The sequence below is a fragment of the Homo sapiens genome, chromosome 2 (assembly GCF_000001405.40).
Source record: "Homo sapiens chromosome 2, GRCh38.p14 Primary Assembly".
NCBI lineage: Eukaryota > Metazoa > Chordata > Mammalia > Primates > Hominidae > Homo > Homo sapiens.
In genome coordinates, this window is record NC_000002.12 from 208,495,904 (window position 1) to 208,511,841 (window position 15,938).

At 36.0% G+C, this 15,938-nt stretch overlaps 1 annotated feature.

Moving 5' to 3' along the window:
- Positions 288-488: a silencer, noted in NCBI's record as "peak4030 fragment used in MPRA reporter construct". NCBI's record gives its function as "represses an SCP1 promoter by STARR-seq MPRAs in K562 erythroleukemia cells {active_cell/tissue: K562}" and the evidence as "EXISTENCE:reporter gene assay evidence [ECO:0000049][PMID:32103011]".

Consider the following 15,938-nt stretch of genomic DNA (forward strand, 5'->3'; position numbering starts at 1 on the left):
TTAGTCACTGCAGTATTACAGAATTACTAGAATAGATATATTCTGATAATATAGAAAATACAGAGTTCTTACTTTTCAAGCCAACTCCAAATTCTAACGCTACACCACTATTCCTTTTCTTCTATTTTCTTGCTGCCTTTGAAGACAGAATATTTCTTTACATTAACAAGTATAACAAAGCCCTCAGAGTTACCAAGATTTTTCTTAAAGCTTATTTATTTGTTAATTCAACAAACATTTACTTAGAGCCTATTATGGAACAGATACTATGTTAAGTGCTGGCCCACAAAAAAGAACAAGGCATAATCTATTTTCTCAAGGAACAATCTGTTTTCTCAAGGAACAAGGAACTTAGTTGCTAGGGCTCTTAATCTCTCTCTCAAAGATGAGGTTTTGTTATGCTGCCCAGGCTGGTTTCAAACTCCTGAGCTCAAGGGATTTCCGCCTCAGCCTCCTGTGTAGCTGGGACTACAGGCACACTACACTGTGCCTGGCTTAATCTTAGTTTGTGCACACGTATTTTTCCTTCTAGGTTTTGATAATGTCTGCATCCAATTAGACCACAGACAATAAGTTATGCCAGTCTGTTGATTTTTCTTGTAAAATATTGGGCAGTTATTGAGGATTGGCTGATCTAGATCCAAAGGTGCAAACTACTGGCTCATGAGCTAAATTTGGTTCATACTTATATTTTATTTGCTCTGCCAAGGGGTTTGAAAATATATTATTTACTTGCCAACATTTAAAATTTCAGCTATTTCTCATAAATTACACTTCCTGACTTATAAAAATACCCGAGGATTTAATGAGACAACCATGAGCTGGTATTGACTGATGCCTAGCTATTCAGACAGGTCAAGAGCTCCACTGTGGCCAGGTGGGCACTGGGCAGTATTTTGTGACTGTCAGAATAAAATGTAACTCCAGCTGCCTGGGCTCTGGAAACATTTGTTCTGTGTCTTCTGGCTAGATAATGCACTTATATACAACAAAGCAATCATTTTCTAAAATATTGTTGAGGAATGATATCTATACAGTTTCTCATTTTTACTAATGAAATCAAGCAACCAAATATCCTTAGGTATAATGGAATTTAATTGTAGCTTGACATATCAACAGTTACTCTGTTTAAATGAGCCTATTAAGAGGGAAACCCATTATAATTTCTGTATTCATAATGTAGATACCAACCACACTATTCAAAGATTCTTTTGTTTATCCCTAGATTCAATACTTTAGCTTTTTATTTTCTTGTCAATTGTATTTTTTTTTATATGGATGAAGCTGGAAACCATCATTCTCAGCAAACTATCACAAGGATAAAAAACCAAACACCGCATGTTCTCACTCATAGGTGGGAAATGAACAATGAGAACACTTGGACACAGAAAGGGGAACATCACGCACCGGGGCCTGTTGTGGGGTGGGGGAAGGGGGGAGGGATAGCTTTAGGAGATATACCTAATGTAAATGACAAGTTAATGGGTGCAGCACACCAACATGGCACATGTATACATATGTAACAAACCTGCACGTTGTGCACATGTACCCTAAAACTTAAAGTATAATAATAAAAAAAAAGATTCACTTTCTAAATCATCACTCTGAGGTACTTATCTGTGGAAGACATTGTCATCTTTTCTAAAGAGTTTAAAGCATCTTATTTTATGGGTTGGATAGCAGTTTTCTTCTCTCTTTAGACTTGCTCTGCCTATTCAAGTCTCAGGCCCTCTCCCTAAGACACACAGGGAATCAATTGTTCAGTAAATCTCTTACCTGTGCATCCAGAGAAGTGCTAGGCTAAAAAATTGGCTTCCCTATGGTTGTTTAGGAATAAAATAGAAAAGCAATTAATGTAACTTGCTTTATTTTAGAAACTGAGCATAGTACTTTGGGTATATTTTATCATATAATGATTGTAACACACAATGGTGTCATTATCCCCATTTCAAAAATGTAGAAACAATTAGAGAGGCTAGATGACTTGTTGCAGATTAAAGTGTCTGAGTCGGGATTTGAACTCAGTTCTGATTGACTCCAAGGCCCCTGATCATTCTCCCACCTATGTGGTCTTTACTTTCTTTATGACAAGTGTAATAATAAGCCAAATCATTAAGAAAATAAGTAAGTATTCATTTAAACTATTTTGATGATATACTAATAATTATGGGAATGTGAAAATCAATAATTACAAAATTATAGTTTTAGATATAAACATTCTTATCTCCCAGTATTTTGTGACTACAAGAATAAAAAGTAACCATTAAATCTAAATTCTCCTTTCAACCCCATCCAAAATGTATAACTAGATATAAAAATCTAAATTCTGTTCTTAAACTGCGTCATAAGACCATGGAAATTTGCCCACGTATTGTTGTAAAAATAACTTTGAACAACTTTATCTTTAAATTACTCATCTGTATCACATTTAAAGACAGCTTTTATGTAGGTTTCCATTTATTCACTATTATAATAACTACCCAAGGCAATGGAATATCTATAAATGGTGCAGAAGCCAGGGAAAATGGGCTAACATTCTTATCCCTTACTGACTCTTATTTTAATACCATTAACATTTAAATTCCATTCCTGTTTAGACACCTAATCTCTATTAAAACTACATTTTATTTTGGGAGCTTATATGGTTTATTTGATTAATGATTTAAATGATGAAATACAAAAACAAGATTAGTACATAAAGATGTCATTTGCACACATTTTTTCTCATCTCTAGGACATACAGTAGATTCTTGTTGACCGAAGATATTTCCAGCATGTACCCTGCTTGACCTCCCCAGAGCATGGCAACAGAAATCTGTGTGTCAGAAAAACGCCAACCTGAGCAGGCAAAAGCCAGGCATCCCCAGTTCAGCTTAATTTCAGGGGCACTGGAGGCACTCTTTTCCAGCTCCATTCCAATTGGCTGGCAGGGCATCTAACATTTTCAAAGGCAGAGTAACTTGGAAAGAATGCCTTACTAAATCGCAAGAAGTCCTTAAAATCTGCACGTACCTCAAAAACTGCAATGCCTGATTTAACCTTGTTGGATCTAGTTTTGGGGTCTGATTACGAGCAGAATAAAGCAAGAAGGTTTTCACAGCTTTTTTTTTTTGCCCACGTAAAATGACTTCTTAACATAGGACTATTTAAACAAGTGATATTTCCCTTAAAAAAAAGTCTTATTTTATTCTGGTTTAATAATGAAAAACACACACACACAAAACAAAAAACTCAGACAAACTTAGATTGAGGGACAGCTGGTCATACTTATATTGAGGATGCTTGATTAGTACTCCCGAAGACTGTCAGGGTCAGGAAAAAAGGGGATAGATGGCCAGGCATGGTGGCTCACAGCTGTAATCCCAGCACTTTGGGACGCCAAGGTGGGCAGATCATGAGGTTAGGAGTTCAAGACCAGCCTGACCAACATAGTGAAACTCCATCTCTACTGAAAATACAAAAATTAGCTGGGCATGGTAGTGGGCGCCTGTAATCCCAGCTACTCAGGAGGCTGAGGCAGGAGAATCGCTTGAACCCGGGAGGTGGAGGTTGCAGTGAGCCGAGATCTCACCACTGCACTCCAGCCTGGGCGACAGAGCGAGACTCCGTCTCAAAAAAAAAAAAAAAAGAAAAGGATGGATTCAGAAGCTGTCATAGGTCAGAGGAGACTGGCGACACATGACAACTAAATGTTAGATTTAGTACATTTGTTACTTTAGGTGGGTGATGGGACAGAAAGCAGAGATTAATATTAAAACTGGTATATCCAAATAAAGCCTGGAGTTTAATTGTTAGCAATGTGCCAAATGTATAATGGTAATGTAAAATGTTAACCATGAAGGAAACTAGAGGTCAGGTATATAAAACATCTGTACTATTTTTGCAACTTTTCTATGAATCTAAAACTATTCCAAAATAAGTTTATTTTTAAAAATCTCACTTTAGCAGTTTAGGAATAAATTTGGTAAATAATCATGAATACTATAGTCCAACTCCACTTGAGTTTTTCCATATCAAATATTTGATATGATTGGGCTGACATATCACAAAAATCACTCACCAAGATTCTTTAGTTTATAAATATATACAATATCTATTCTACATTTGAGAATAACTAAAAATTACTGAATGTTTTTGTCTGAAAGGGTTAAATACTTATTTTTAGCTGTTCCCATATCAAGCCTTCTGCCTCTTTCAAATTCAGTAACTACACTATAAATTTTCCAGTTTTAATTTGTCTGCATGATGTTATATCTTAGATGAATTTAGCAATGTTTTATTTAAATGTAAGCGTTTTGAGGCCCTTGAGGAAAAATGATAAACTCTGAAAGTGTAGTCGGTGGCCTTAGCTTTAGGAATCTTCCCTTCATCACAGTTATTTTTGGTAAAGCTTCGTTGCCACCTCCCACCTTCCAGATCTTTGAATGCCATTTTTATTTTAGCTGAATTTCTATTACACTGAAAAGTAGTTGGTAAAATGTCATATTTAGAGTTCAACTCCTGTAATTTTATTGTATTGGTTGTAATATTTGTAATATCATCAAGCATATCACAAGCACCTCTCTGCAGATTTCCTGTTTGACAATTGCTCTTTTGTGAAGTTATCAGTTTCTATCATGCAATCTATTTTACATGATTTTCTTTGTAAATAAAAGTTACAATAATCCCATTGTCCTCTCATTATAATTTTCATACACATACACATTTATTGATTAGAGCTGGAGATAAGTAAGGAGGAGAATTTATTCTTTGTAGAGTGTTAGGCTGTATGTTTATAATTTTTGAAACTGCCAACTGAGCAACAGGGGTATGTCAATTTATTCTTTCATTTAATCAACACCTATTGAACTCTGACTAAAAATTGTAAGTTTAAGACACAGAAATAACAGACTGCTCTCTGATTTATAAATTCAGCTGCTCTCAAGAAGCTCACAGTTGAATTTATTTATTTATTTAAATTAAAAAAAATTCAGTAGCTTTAGGGATACAAGTGGTTTTTGGTTACATGGATGCATTGTGTAATGGTGAAATCTGGGCTTTTAGTGTACCCATTATCCATATAGTGTACATCAGTGGTCCCCAACATTTTTGGCACCAGGGAACGGTTTTGTGGAAGACATTTTTTTCCACTGACTGGAGTCAGGGGTGGGGGGATGGCCTCAGGATGATTCAAGCACATTACATTTATTCACTTCAGTCTATTATTATTACATCATAATATAGAGTGAAATAATTATACAACTCACCATAATGTAGAATCAGGGAAGCCCTGAGCTTTTTTCCCTGCAACTAGACAGTCCCATCTGGGGTTGATGGGAAACAGTGACAGATTATCAGGCATTCAATTTTCATAACGAGCATACAACCTAGATCCCTCAAATGCACAGTTCACAGTAGGGTTTGCACTCCCATGAACTCTAATGCTGCCGCTGCTCTGACAGGAGGTGGAGCTCAGGCAGTAACGTGAGCCATGGGGAGTGGCTGTAAATACGGATGAAACTTTGCTCGCTTGCCAGCTGCTCATCTCCTGCTGTGAGGCCCAGTTCCTAACAGGCCATGAACCGGTACTAGTCCGCTTGGGGGTTGGGGACCCCCAGTGTACATTGTACCCAATAGGTAGTTTATCCTCTCCCAAGCCCCTCCTTCCCTCCCCCTTTCTGAGTCTCTAGTGTTCATTATATCACTCTGTATGCCTTTGCATACACATAGCTTAGCTCCCACTTATAAGTGAGAACATTATTTGGTTTTCCATTCCTGAGTTATTTCATTCAGGACAATAGCCTCCAGTTCATTCAAGTTGCTGCAAAAGACATTATTTCGTTCTTTTTTATGGCTGAGTGTATTCCATGGTGGGTATATATACCACACTTTTTAACCATTCATAGGTCGATGGTCTTTTAGGTTGATTCCATACCTTTGCAATGCTCACAGTTGAATTTAAAAATTGTTATGAGAGAAGACAGTTATGAGGGTGCAAAGGAGGGGAACTTCGTTTAGATATGGAGGTAAAGTGGAATCCCTAAAAGAGATAAGAAATGAGCAGGCAGAGAAGTGAGGAAGACGTTCCAGGCAGTTGAAATTTAGACGGGAAGCTACAAAAGTGTGGGAGAATTTAGTACATTTGGGGAACTGCAAAGTTTCATGACGAAGTGTGATCTGGGAAGGAGGAGACATAAGCAACAAGGCTGGAGAGGCAGGGGAGAAGAAGATCGGGAAGGGCTTTTATCCCCTACTATGCCAGTAAAGGTGGTGAGGAATCCCTGACAGGTCTAAGTAACAGTTTTTTAAAAAAAATTTTAAAGACTTCATTTGTTTAGAACAGTTTCAGGTTTGCAGCAGCTTTGAGAGGAAGGTATAGAGATAGCCCATATATCCCTGTCCGCACAGATGCATGGTCTCTCATTATCAATATCCTCCACCAGATGGTACATTTTTAAAAATAGATGTTCTTACATTAAGCCATCATTATCACCCAAAGTCCACAGTTTACATTAGGGTTCAGTCTTGTTATTGTACATTCTATGGGGTTGGACAAATGTGTAATGATATATTCCACCACTGCAGTATCATGCAGAGCATGGTTTATTGGTATCTCACTGTTATTTTAATTTGCATTTCCCTAGCAACATATGATGTGGAGCATCTTTTCACATGCTTATTTGCCATTTGTATACTTTTTGGTGAGGTTTCTGTTAAGGTCTTTGGCCCATTATTTAATTGGGGTGTTTACTTTCTTATTGTTGTGTTTTAAGAGTTCTTGGTATATGTTGGATAAAAGCCCTTTATCAGATGCGTCTTTTGCAAATATTTTCTCTCAGTCTATGATTTAGCTTTTCATTCTGTGGATAATGTCTTTCATAGAGTAAAAATTTTCAATTTTAATGAAGTCCAGCTTATCAGTTATTTATTTTATTGACCATGTGTTTGGTTCCATATCTAAAAAGTCATCACCATACCCAAGGTTGTCAAGGTTTTCTTTTATGTTATGTTCTGGGAGCTTTACAGTTCTGCATTTTACATTTAGGCCTGTGATTTATTTTGAGTCAATTTATATGAAGGGTTAACATCTATGTCTGATTCTTTTTGTTTTTTCTTGCATGTGAATGTCCAGTTTTTCCAGCACCATTTGTTGAAAAGGCTCTATTTTCTCCACTGTATTGCCTTTGCTTATTTGTCAAAAATCAGTTGACTTTATTTATGTCAGTCTATTTCTGGGTTCTGCTTCCTGTTCTATTGATCTATTTATTTTTTCACAAATACCACACTGTCCTGATTACTATAGTTTTATAGTAAGTCTTGAAGTAGGATACTGCGGGTTTCCAGCTTTGTTCTTCTCCCTCAATGTCATGTTGACTATTATGGGTCTTTTGCTTCTTTTTATACCCTTTGGAATGAATTTGTCAATATCTATAAAAAACTTGCTTGAATTTTAATAGGGAATTCATTGAATCTATAGATCAATTTTGGAAGAACTGACATGTTGACAATATTGAGCTTTCCTATCCTGACAAAGGAGTATCTCTCTACTTATTTAGTGTTTCTTTGAATTCCTTCATCAGATTTTGTAGTTTTTCTCATAGAGATTTTGCACATATTTTGTTAGATTTATGCCTAAGTATTTTATTTTTGGGGGGATGCTTATGTAAATGTTATTGTGTTTTAAATTTCAAATTCCACTGATTTATTGTAGGCATATAGAAATGCAATTGACTTTTACCTTGTACCCCACAACCTTACTATAACCACTTATTAGTTGCAGGGTTTTTTGGTCAATTCTTTAAGATTTTCTACATAGACAATCATGTTATCTGTGGACAAAGATAGTTTTATTAATTCTTTCCAATTGGTATACATTTTATTTCTTTTTAATGTCTTAATTCATTACTTAGGACTTCCAATAAGCTGTTGAAAAGCAGCAGTGAGAGGGTCATCATTCCTTAGCTTGACCAATCTTAGTGGGAAAACTTCAAGTTTCTGACCACTAAGTACAATATTACTATAGGTTTTTTTGGTATATTTTTAAAAAATCAAGTTAAGGAAGTTCTTCTCTATTTCTACTTTACTGAGAGTTCCTTATTTTGAAATTGGTATTGAATTTTGTGTTTGGATTTTCTGCATCTATTGATATAATCATATGCTTTTTCTTTTTTAGCCTGTCGATGTGATGGATTACATTAACTGATTTTTGAATATTAAACCAGCCTTAAATACCTGGGATAAATCTCATTCAGTTGTGACTTACAATTCTTTTTATATATTGTTGGATTTGATTTGCCACTATTTTGTTGGGAATTTTTGCATAAATGTTCATGAGACATACTGATCTGTAGTTTTCTTTTCTTATAATGTCTTTGTCTGGTTTTGGTATTTGGGTTATGACAGCCTCATAAAATGAGTTGGGAAGTATTTCCTCTGCTTTTATCTACTGAAAGAGATTGTATAGAACTGGCATAATTTCTTCCTTAACTGTTTGGTATAATTCACCAGTGAACCCGTCTGGGCTGTGTCCTTTCTGTTTTGGAAAGTTATTCATTATTGATTCAATTTTTTAAATAGATTATAGGCCTATTCAAATAGTCTATTTCTTCTTGTGTGAGTTTGGGCAGGTTGTGTCTGTCAAGGAATTGGTGTATTTTATCTAGGTTATCAAATTTGTGGGCATAGAGTTGTTACTTTATTATCTTTTTAATGTGCACGAGACCTATACTGATGTTCCCTCTTTCATTTCTGATATTGGTAATTTGTTTTCTTAGCCTGGCTAGAGGCTCATAGACTTTATTGATCTTTTTAAAGAATTAGCTTTTGGTTTCACTGATTTTCTCTATTGAGTTCCTATTTTCTTTTTTAAAACTTTTATTTATTTATTTATTTTAAGTTTCGGCGTACATGTGCAGGATGTTCAGGTTTGTTACATAGGTAAACGTGTGCCATAGTCATTTGCTGCACAGATCAGCCCATTACCTAGGTAGTAAGCCCCGCATGCATTAGCTATTTTTCCTGATGCTCTCCCTCTCCCTCACACCCCTGACAGACCCCAGTGTGTGTTGTTCCCTCCCTGTGTCTATGTGTTCACATTGTTCAGCTCCCACTTATAAGTAAGAACATGAGGTATTTGGTTTTCTGTTGCTGCATTAGTTTGCTGAGGATAATGGCTTCCAGCTCCATCCAGGTCTCTGCAAAGGATGTGATCTCATTCATTTTTATGGCTGCATAGTATTCCATGAGGTATATGTACCACATTTTATTTATCCAGTCTGTCACTGATGGGCATTTGAGTTGATTCCACATCTTTGCTATTGTGAATAGTGCTGCAATGAACATACGCGTGCATGTATCTTTATCTCAGGTTGATTTATATTCCTTTCAACATATACCCAGTAATGGAATTGCTGGGTCAAATGGTATTTCTGGTTCTAGGCCTTTGAGGAATTGCCACAATATCCTCCACAATGTTTGAACTAATTTACGTTCCCACCAATAGTGTAAAAGCATTCCTATTTCTCTACAGCCTCACCAGCAATTGTTGTTTCTTGACTTTTTAATAATCGCCATTCTGACTGGGATGAAATGGTACCTCATTGTGGTTTGGATTTGCATTTCTCTAATGACCAGTGATGTTGAGCTTTTTTTTTTTTTTCATGTTTGTTAGCCACATAAATGTCTTCTTTTGAGAAGTGCCTATTCATGTCCTTTGCCCATTTTTTAATGGGGTTGTTTTTTTCTTGTAAATTTGTTTAAGTTCCTTGTATATTTTGGATATTAGACTTTTTTTTTTTTTTTTTTTTTTTTTTGAGCTGGGGTCTTGCTCTGTCACCCAGTCTGGAGTGCAGTGGTGCGATCTCAGCTCACTGCAACCTCTGCTTCCCGGGTTCAAGCAATTCTCCTGCCACAGCCTCCCGAGTGGCTGGGATTACAGGCACCCGTCACCATACCCGGCTAATTTTTGTAGTTTTAGTAGAGACAGGATTTCACCATGTTGGCCAGGCTGGTCTTGAACTCCTGACCTCAGGAGATCCACCTGCCTTGGCCTCCCAAAGTGTTGGGATTATAGGCATGAGCCACCACCAGATGGATAGATTGCAAAAATTTTCTCCAATTCTATAGGTTGCCTGTTTGCTCTGATGATAGTTTCTTTGCTGTGCAGAAGCTCTTTAGTTTAATTAGATTCCATTTGTCAATTTTTGCTTTTGTTGCACTTGCTTTTGATGTTTTTTTTTTTAAATAATATCTTTGTCCTTGACTGTGTCCTCAATGATATTGCTTAGATTTTCTTTTAGTTTTTATAGCTTTGGGTTTTGCATTTAAGTCTTTAATCCACCTCAAATTAATTTTTGTATAAGGTGTAAGGAAGGGGTCCAGTTTCAATTTTCTGCATATGGCTAGCCAGTTCTCCCAGCACCATTTATTAAACAGGGAATATTTTCCCCATTGCTTGTTTTCATCAGATTGATTTCCTATTTTCAATTGCTTTGATTTCTGCTCTAATTTTTATTATTTATTTTCTTTTTTTACATTAAATAGATGTTAAAATTTATTTTTTCTTTTACCTTTTATTTTAGACTCAGGGGTGGGTACATGTGCAAGTTTGTTACATATGTAAATTGTTTTTGCTGAGGTTTGCTGTGCAAATGATCCAGTCACCCAGGTAGTGAGCATGGTACCTGATAGGTAGTTTTTCAGCCCGTTTTCCACTCCCTCTCTCCCTCATCAAGGAGTCCCAGTGTGTATTATTCCCATCTTTGTGTCCACGTGTATTCAGTGCTTAGCTCTTTCTCTCTCACTTGTAAGTGAGAACGTGTGGTATTTGGTTTTCTGTTTCTGCATTAATTCCCTTATGATAATGGCCTGTAGCTGCATCCATGTTGCTGCAAAGGACATTATTTCATTCCTTTTTATGCCTACATAGTATTCCATGGCACATATTTACCACATTTTAAAAATCCAGTCCAACATTGATGGACATCTAGGTTGAGTCCATATCTTTGCTATTATGAATACTGTTGTGATGAACATATGAGTGCATGTGTCTTTTTGGTAGAACAATTTATTTTTCTTTGGATATATATCCAGTAGTGGGATTGCAGGTTTGAATGGTAGTTCTGTTTTAAGTTATTTGGGAAATCTCTACACTGTTTTCCACAGAAGCTGAAGTAATTTACATTCCCACCAACAGTGTAAAATTGTTTCCTTTTTCCACAATCTTGCCAACATCCGTTGTTTTTTGACTTTTTCATAGTAGCCATTCTGATTGGCATGAAATGGTATATAACTGTGGGTTTGATTTGCATTTCTTTAATAATTAGTGGTGGTGAGTGTTTTTTTCTTATGTTTGTTGGGTGCGTGTATGTCTTCTTTTGAAAAATGTCTGTTCATGTCCTTTGCTCATTTTAAAATAGGGTTATTTGTTTTTGCTTGTTGAATTGTTTAAGTTCCTTGTAGATTCTGGATATTAGACCTTTGTTGGATGCATCGTTTGAATATTTTCTCCCATTCTGTAGGTTGTCTGTTTACTCTGTTGATAGCTTCTTTTGCTGTGCAGAAGGTCTTTAGTTTAATTAGACTCCACTTGTCAGTTTTTTTGTTGTTGTTGCAATTTTTTTTGGGGAGTTAGTAATAAAATCTTTGCTAAAGCCAACATCCAGACTGGTATCTCCTAGGTATTCTTCTGGGGTTTTTATAGTTTGAGGTCTTACATTTAATCCATCTCGAGTTTTTTTTTAATATGGTGAAAAGTAGGGGTTCAGTTTTAATTTTCTGCATATGGCTAGATAGTTATCCCAGAACCATTTATTGAATAGGGACACCTTTCCTCATTGCTTGTTTTTGTCAACTTTGTTGAAGATCAGGTCGTTTTAGGTATGCAGCTTTATTTCTGGGTTCTCCATCTTGTTCCCTTGGTCTATGTGTCTGTTTTTGTTCCAGTACCATGCTGTTTTGATTACTGCAGCCTTGTAGCATATTTTGAAATCAGGTAGTATGATGCTTCTCACTTTGTTCTTTTTGCTTAGGATTGCTTTGGTGATAATCCACAATCAATGCACAAAGATAAGTAGCATTTTTATGCACCAATGACATCTAAGCTGAGAGCCAAATCAAGATCACAATCCAATTTATGATAGCCACATAAAGGATAAAACACCTAGGAATACAGCTAAGCAAGAAGGTGAAAGGTCTCTACAACAGGAATTATAAAACACTGCTGAAAGAAATCAGAGACTACACAAACAAATGTAAAAACATTCCATGCTCATGGATAGGAGGAATCAATATTGTTAAAATGGCCATAATTGCCCAAAGCAATTTATATATTCAATGCTATTCTTATCAAACTACCAATCTTATTTCTTTTCTTCTGGTTGTTTTGGATTTAATTCACTCTTCTTTTTGTAGTTTCCTGAAATGGAAGCTTAGACGGTAGATTATAGATCTTTATTCTTTCCTAATATATGCACTTGATGCTATAAGTCTCCTTCTATGTGCTGCTCTTGCTGCATTTCACAAATTTTGATAAATTGTGCTTTCGTTCTTATTTAGTTCAAAATACTTTTTAATTTCTTTTGAGATTTCTTCTTAACCCATGTGTTATTTAGAAGTGTATTGCTTTTAATCTTCACGTATCTGGGGATTTTCTAGTTATACTTCTGCCATTTATTTTTAGTTTAATTTTATTATGGTCTGAGAGCAGACATTGCATGATTTCTGTTATTTTACATTCGTGAAGGTGTATTTTATGACCCAAAATGTTGGTCTCTCTTGTGGAATATTCCATGTGAGGTTGAGAAGAATGTATATTCTGCTATGGTTGGATGAAGTAATCTACACTTGTCAATTATATCTAGTTGATTGATGGTGTTGTGGAATTCAACCACATCTTTACTGATTTTCTGCCTGCTGGATCTGTTCATTTGTAATGGAGGGGTGTTGGTGTTGTCAGCCATAATAGTGAATTAGTCTATTTCTTCTTGCAAGTTTATTAGTTTTTGCTTCACATATTTTAGTGCTCAGTCGTTAGGCACATACACGTTAAGGATTGTTTTGTGTTCTTGGAGAATTGACCTCTTTATTATTATGTAATGGTCCCTTTTTATCCCTGATCACTTTTTTGCTTAGAAGTTTGCTTTGTTTGAAATTAATATAGCCACTCCCACTTTCTTTTGATTAATGCAGAATTCTAGGTTGGTGGGTTTTTTCTTCTTAACACTAAATATTTTACTGCATTCTCCTCTTGCTTTCATGGCTTCTGAGGAAATGTTGGACCTAATTCTTATCTTTGCTCCACTACAGGTAAAATGGTTTCTCCCCACCAGCTTCTTTCAGGACTTTTCTTTTATCTTTGATTTTCTATAGTTTGAAAATGTCATGCCTAGGTGTAGAGGTTTCTTTTTTTCTTAGAATTTATCTTGCTTTGTGTTTTATGAACTTCCTGGATCTGTGGTTTGGTGTCTGATTTTAATATTGGAAAAATTCCCAGTAATTATTGTTTCAAATATTTCTTCTCTTTCTGTTTTTCTCCTCCTTCTGGTATCCCCATTATGTGTATTTTACAGATTTTGTAGTTATCCCACAGTTCTTGAACATTGTGTTCTCTTTTTCCCCCACATTTTGTTCTCTTTCCTTTTCAGTTTTAAAGTTTCCTATCACTATATCCTCAAGCTCAGAGATTCCTTCTTTATCCAGTGTACACATGAGCCCATCAAAGACATTCTTTATTTCTATTACAGTGTTTTTGATCTCTAGCATTTCTTTTGGTTCTTTCTTAGGATATCCATCTCTGTGCTTACATGGTCCACCTGTTCTTCCATGCTGTTTACTTTTTCCATTAGAGCCCAAAGCATATTAATCATTTTTGTTTTACATTCCCTGTCTAATAATTCCAACATTCCTGTCACACACATAATGCATGTGAATTGTGGCCAAACTGCACCTGTGCTGCTTCTTGCCAGTAGACCACTCAAGTAAAGAGAACAGCTGCAACACTAACAAGAACTGTGCCTTTACTAGGCTCTGCTCACCTTCTCCAGATGGTTTTTTAGAATTTAATCATACATTTGTATGATGCCATTTATGACTAAATTCCTAGCCTAGCCTGATTATCTATTATCAGACAAATTTGCCAGTTGAGGTTCTGCTATCTGGTCTTATCAGATAGTAGGCCTATTTAGTACAAAAACTGTGATTCAGAAAGTCAATTGATTTATTAATTTTAGAAGAAATAGCTCTACTAAAACAACATTTGGAATTACTAGCACTCACCGTGTGTGATCTATTTGGAAATATTGCTTACTTTTGAAACAACACAATTCTTCCTTTTCCACAAAATATCTGTGACTGCAACTGTCTGGGTAAATCAGTTTGTAATACTAGTTAACACATACAGAGAATATTCTAATTATATGTATTTCTTGAGTATATATAAGTATACATACATATACATACATACACAATTCTTATGACAGCTTTATGAGATAAATACTATTATCCCTGTTTGACAGATGAGGTAATTGAGGCAGAGAGCAATAAAGTAGCTTTTGCAGAAAATACTTTCTTAATCAATAAAGAAAAACTCCACTTTTTAATGAAAACTGGGCTATTAGAGCTCTTTAAGTTAAAGTAGCCGAGGATGAGAGCTGAAGGAAAGGCAAGGACATTACCTCTGAAGGGAGATTCTATATCATGGCTCCAGCAAATCCCTAGCCCCAGCAGTGAACCACCCTGTCTGCTGAGCAGCCTATTTCTCTAGAGCTCTGCTGGCTACACCACTGAGACTTTCCTAAGCATTATCTAACAGGCTCAAAGAAAAGAGTCACAGTTTACTAATTTAAGGCTGTTAAAGGGAGGAATAAGCCTTGATAGAGGTGCTGCTCTCCTGTGTTTGGAGGCATTCAGGCAGAGCAGTAACCAGCCATTAGGAGCTGTAGGAACATCCATAACAGTAAAAGGATATTAAATAACAGACCCTCTGCACTCCTTTCTGTTTTTTTTTAACTCTGATAAAAATATAACAACTGTGTAAGGCTAAATAACATTTAAATAAAACATAGGTCTTATTCAAATTGTGACTGATGGCAATTAAAGGATTAGAAGACATACTGTAGAGGATGTTTTTGTTTGCTTCCCAGCATCAGTTCCTTCTCCTAGTATTAATGCAACTAATTTATTTTGGGAAACCACTTTTCCCTTATGTTCAGGCAGATGAATTAGGTGAGATCGGCTCCACGTTTAAGTCCCAGGTGGGACCTGTTAGGCTTTAGTCAAGCAGCTTATCCCTTCCCTCTGGCCAATTATTGGGTTGGCAATGAGGCCATAATCAAGAGGAGATTGATTGGGCTCCTGGGGAAGAGATCTGTTCCCTAGAGGACTGAGTGTTAAGACATGTGGCTGAATCTGTCATCATACAGAGCTTGGCAGTAGAGCCAGCCCTAGCTAGGAAAAGCTGATGTGTGCATCCTGGTGACATTGTGTGAGGTACGAATTCCTCCTTCTCACATACAAACTTTTCAATGATGAAACCAATAAAGTTTTTTTTTTTTTTTGCCAAAGTTTTTCTGTCATTTTCAACTGAAAGGATTTTGATATATAAATATGTCACATTTTATTTAGAAGTTTATTTTATTCAACAAGTATGTAGCATGTGCCAGGCTGTGTTCAAGAAGCTGGGATTAAAGCAGTGAACAAGATAGATAGGATCTTTATTCTCAAGATGGTTGTATTCTTTGGGAAAAGACGGTACTAACAGTAAAGAAATAAAATGTTGGCAATGAGGCCATAATCAAGGGGAAATAGATTGGGCTTCTGGGGAAGAGACATTTTCCCTGCTGGGCTGAGTGTTAAGACATGTGCCTGAATCTGTTATCATATAGAACTAATAATTTCAGATTGCATTGACTGCTGTGAAGAGAATTAATAGGGTGACATGATTGAGGGTAATGCTGGAAGAA